This window comes from Homo sapiens, chromosome X (assembly GCF_000001405.40).
Source record: "Homo sapiens chromosome X, GRCh38.p14 Primary Assembly".
NCBI classification, from domain to species: Eukaryota; Metazoa; Chordata; class Mammalia; order Primates; family Hominidae; genus Homo; species Homo sapiens.
The window spans coordinates 30822390-30825759 of NC_000023.11; the positions used below are offsets into that span (position 1 = coordinate 30822390).

At 39.3% G+C, this 3370-nt stretch overlaps 1 pseudogene, besides 1 other annotated feature; it reads right to left on the reverse strand.

The window, feature by feature from the left end:
* Nucleotides 241-290: a silencer, noted in NCBI's record as "silent region_20726". NCBI's record gives its function as "represses an Ori minimal core promoter by ATAC-STARR-seq in GM12878 lymphoblastoid cells {active_cell/tissue: GM12878}" and the evidence as "EXISTENCE:reporter gene assay evidence [ECO:0000049][PMID:35858748]".
* On the reverse strand, nt 292-1043 carry LOC100418759 (myoneurin pseudogene; annotated as a pseudogene).

The following is a 3370-nucleotide window of genomic DNA, read 5'->3' on the forward strand; positions in this document are numbered from 1 at the left end:
AACAGGAAGCATGGCTGGAAGGCCTCAGGAAACTTACAATCATGGCAGAAGGCAAAGGGAAAGCAAGCACCTTCTTGGTGGCAGGAGAGAGAAGAGAGTAAATGGGGAAGTGCTACACACTTTTGAAACTCACATCAGATCTCTAAGAACTCGCTATCATGAGAACAGCAAGGGGGAAATCCGCCCTCATGATCTAATCACCTCCCACCAGGCCCCTCCTTCAACACATGGGGATTACAGTTTGACATGAGATTTGGATGGGGATATAGAGCCAAACCATATCAGTGTGCTCGCGTGAGTATTGAGACTGCTAGAAGTTGCAAATTGTAAATCACATATATCACATTTACAGGTTTTTTTTTTCCTTACCGTGATACATGTGACTATGGGTGATTACCTGGCATGTTTGAGCTAAGCCTTTATCACATAATTCACATTTGTAAGGCTCCTCACCCATATGAGTTCTTACATGAGTTTTCAGCTGGTTACAATGGGTACATACTTTTCCACAGACGTGGCCGATACAGAGTTTGACTCCTTTATGTATACTCACATGCATTTTAAAGCTGCTGGCTTCTAAGAACACTTTCTCACACATGTTACACATCAGCTTGGCCTTGGAATACTTCTGATCCAACTCTTTCCCCAGAGCTCTCCAGCTCATAAGGATTCTTGACACTGGCCATATTAGACAGAGTATTCTCTCAGACTATAGCTGGGCTACAAATTTTGACATTTCCATTTCACTGTTAGAGTTTGCATAGAGACATCTTGTGTTGGAAACGTTATTTCCCACAAGTGACGTCGACTACAGTTCTGAATTATTTCTTTGTGCAACATCTTCTATTATGAGTGTGGACAATTCATTTACATCTAGAAATAATTCAACATTTGCACAGTATAAAACATTACTGGGATATGGCACTATTTTCTCCTGTTCTTTGGGAGCTGAAAATCTTTTTAGTTTGAGATAATGTCTTTGCCACAGGCTCTTGTTGAGGAGTCACCTGAACTAAATCTGACATTGTTTTTTATTCCATTTTTTAATTATTTAGAAGAGCTTTTTCTTTTAATTTTCAGGTGGCTTGATTTTAGTTATTTTTAGATTTGATGCCTTACAATCAGAAAAGTGTGGCCTGTTTAATTCTGTTTTAGAAATTGAGGTTTTCTCGATTTTTTGGGGGGTAAATGTTTGGACATTTGAAAGAACAGTTGGTTATTGGGAGGTATAAAGTTTTATTATAGTAGATTTAACCAAACTGATAATATTCACTATTTGTCTATTTTGCATGTGAAAATCAGACAGTTGTGTTCCTTTATTTGACCTTCATAGGTAAGATTTTTTCAGTCGTCCTGTCCCATGTTTCTTATATCTTCGTTGCTTCTCTCCTATCTGCTGTGTTTGTTTTTTCTGGTATTCCTTATTGCATCTCCTGAGTCTAGATTCACATTTATTTCTTCTATATGTCAGCTCTTCATCTCAATATCCCTTTCCTCTGAATTCTACAATCTCTGTTGACTCAGTTCTCTGAACTTCACTACCTGTATTTGTATTTTAGAGTTTTAGTAAAAAATTAGTTTTCCTTTGAAGGAAACCTTTTTTGATCTGATTGTTCCTTTTTGAGAGATACAACATTGTTATAAATTTTGTTTGGAATTCAATTTAGAAATTAAGGTTTTCTCTTTCCCTTCTGTATTATGAGATTCTTTTTTCAGAATGCTACATCTTCATGTACATTTGATTTTTAAACAATTTTAAATACCATGTGGGTCACATTGTTTAAATCTTTTAATATCTTAAGCAAAAATTGTTCTACTTCTGTAGTCTTATTTTTCTTGGTTGGAAATTACTAAAAATATTAGAAAGATCGGGAAGTTCAGTGCTTTGCTAAGCATTTCTTTTCAGCCAGTCAGTAACAGGCATCAATGGGTGCTGTTTTAAATATTTATTGTGGGGTTGAAAACTGCTCCCTGGAATTCTCAGCTGGGCCAAGCAAGCTTTTCCTCTATGTTCATTGTGGCAGCTTGAAGTTACTTGGTGCCTTATGCCGCTTAACTAGGTGGCCAAACCACTCCCATTAAATGCTTTCTGTAGTGAACTGTGGTGCCAAGTGAGCCAGAAGGCAAGTGCTGTCATCTACATGCTTCCTGTCCAGCACATATTATCCCTTCCCATTTGCCCACGGCTCAGAGTTTGGGGGTCTTCCTGGGTTCTTTTGAGGAGTCCCATAGACTTGGTTTGCAGGTTGACTTTCACTGATGGCTGGAATTGTGTGCTGGCCGACACTGGTTGCTACTGCCCTCCATACATCCCCATCTGCTTCCTGTAATTTCTGACCCTGAGAGCCTATTCTCCAGTCCTTAAAAATGTTTTTGTTAGTTACACCAGTGGAATTTGGGAAGAGAAACTCAAATCGTAATCTTACAATCAGAGTCTTCCTGCCACATGTGACCATTTGATTCATTGTCAAAGTGTATAGAGAATGCAAGCTATTTCCATATGCTAACCCAATTTTCTCCTCCCCCAACCCCAAATACCTTCCATAAATCTTTTTTTGAATCTTGCACACCCAAATCAGACCAAATGATTTGAAAGAAAACAGAATTGGGGGATAGCATTTAGAAATCGCTGTAAATGTTAGCAGTTCTTGATCAAGGGAATGGAATTACCTGAAAACTACCTCAGTCCCCAGGAATAAATGCACAAATAAGTCAAAAGAAAACAAATTAATGTAGAATGTAGTAACTGGCATTTTGTTCCCACCACAGTGCAAAACTCTAGAAAGCTAGGCGGCACCACTTTTCTTGCACGATATATTATCACTGTGATGTCATGAAAGGGTGGTCAAAAGCACACCCGCCAATGTTCAAGAGGCAGGACAAGTGAGATGGTTTGACTGCTCTAAGAATAAGGAACTTGCAAAACAAAATCTCACTCACATATTCTATTAATATCTTTGAAATCTCCATCATAAAACATTACCTGGTCAACATTCTAGAAAAAAGGTCAAGAGGACAAAGTCAAGTCAGGAAGTCTTTGGAGGAATGCAGGTGGGAGACACACTGTGCATCTCCTACACAACAGTCCTCCAGTCTTCTGTGTGGAAAACTGAGCTGGGTAATACCTGAAATCATTATACTGATAGTGGGATTAAAGACTAATTATGGGCCAGGTGCAGTGACCTATAATCCCAGCACTTTGGGAGGCTGAGGCGAGCAGATGGCTTGAGCTCATGAGTTCGAGACCAGCCTGGGCAATATGGCAAACCCCTCTGTCTACTAAAAATACAAAAGTTAACCGGGCATGGTGCCGCACGTGTGTAATCCCAGCTACTTGGGAGGCTGAGGTGGGAGGATCATTTGAGCTTTG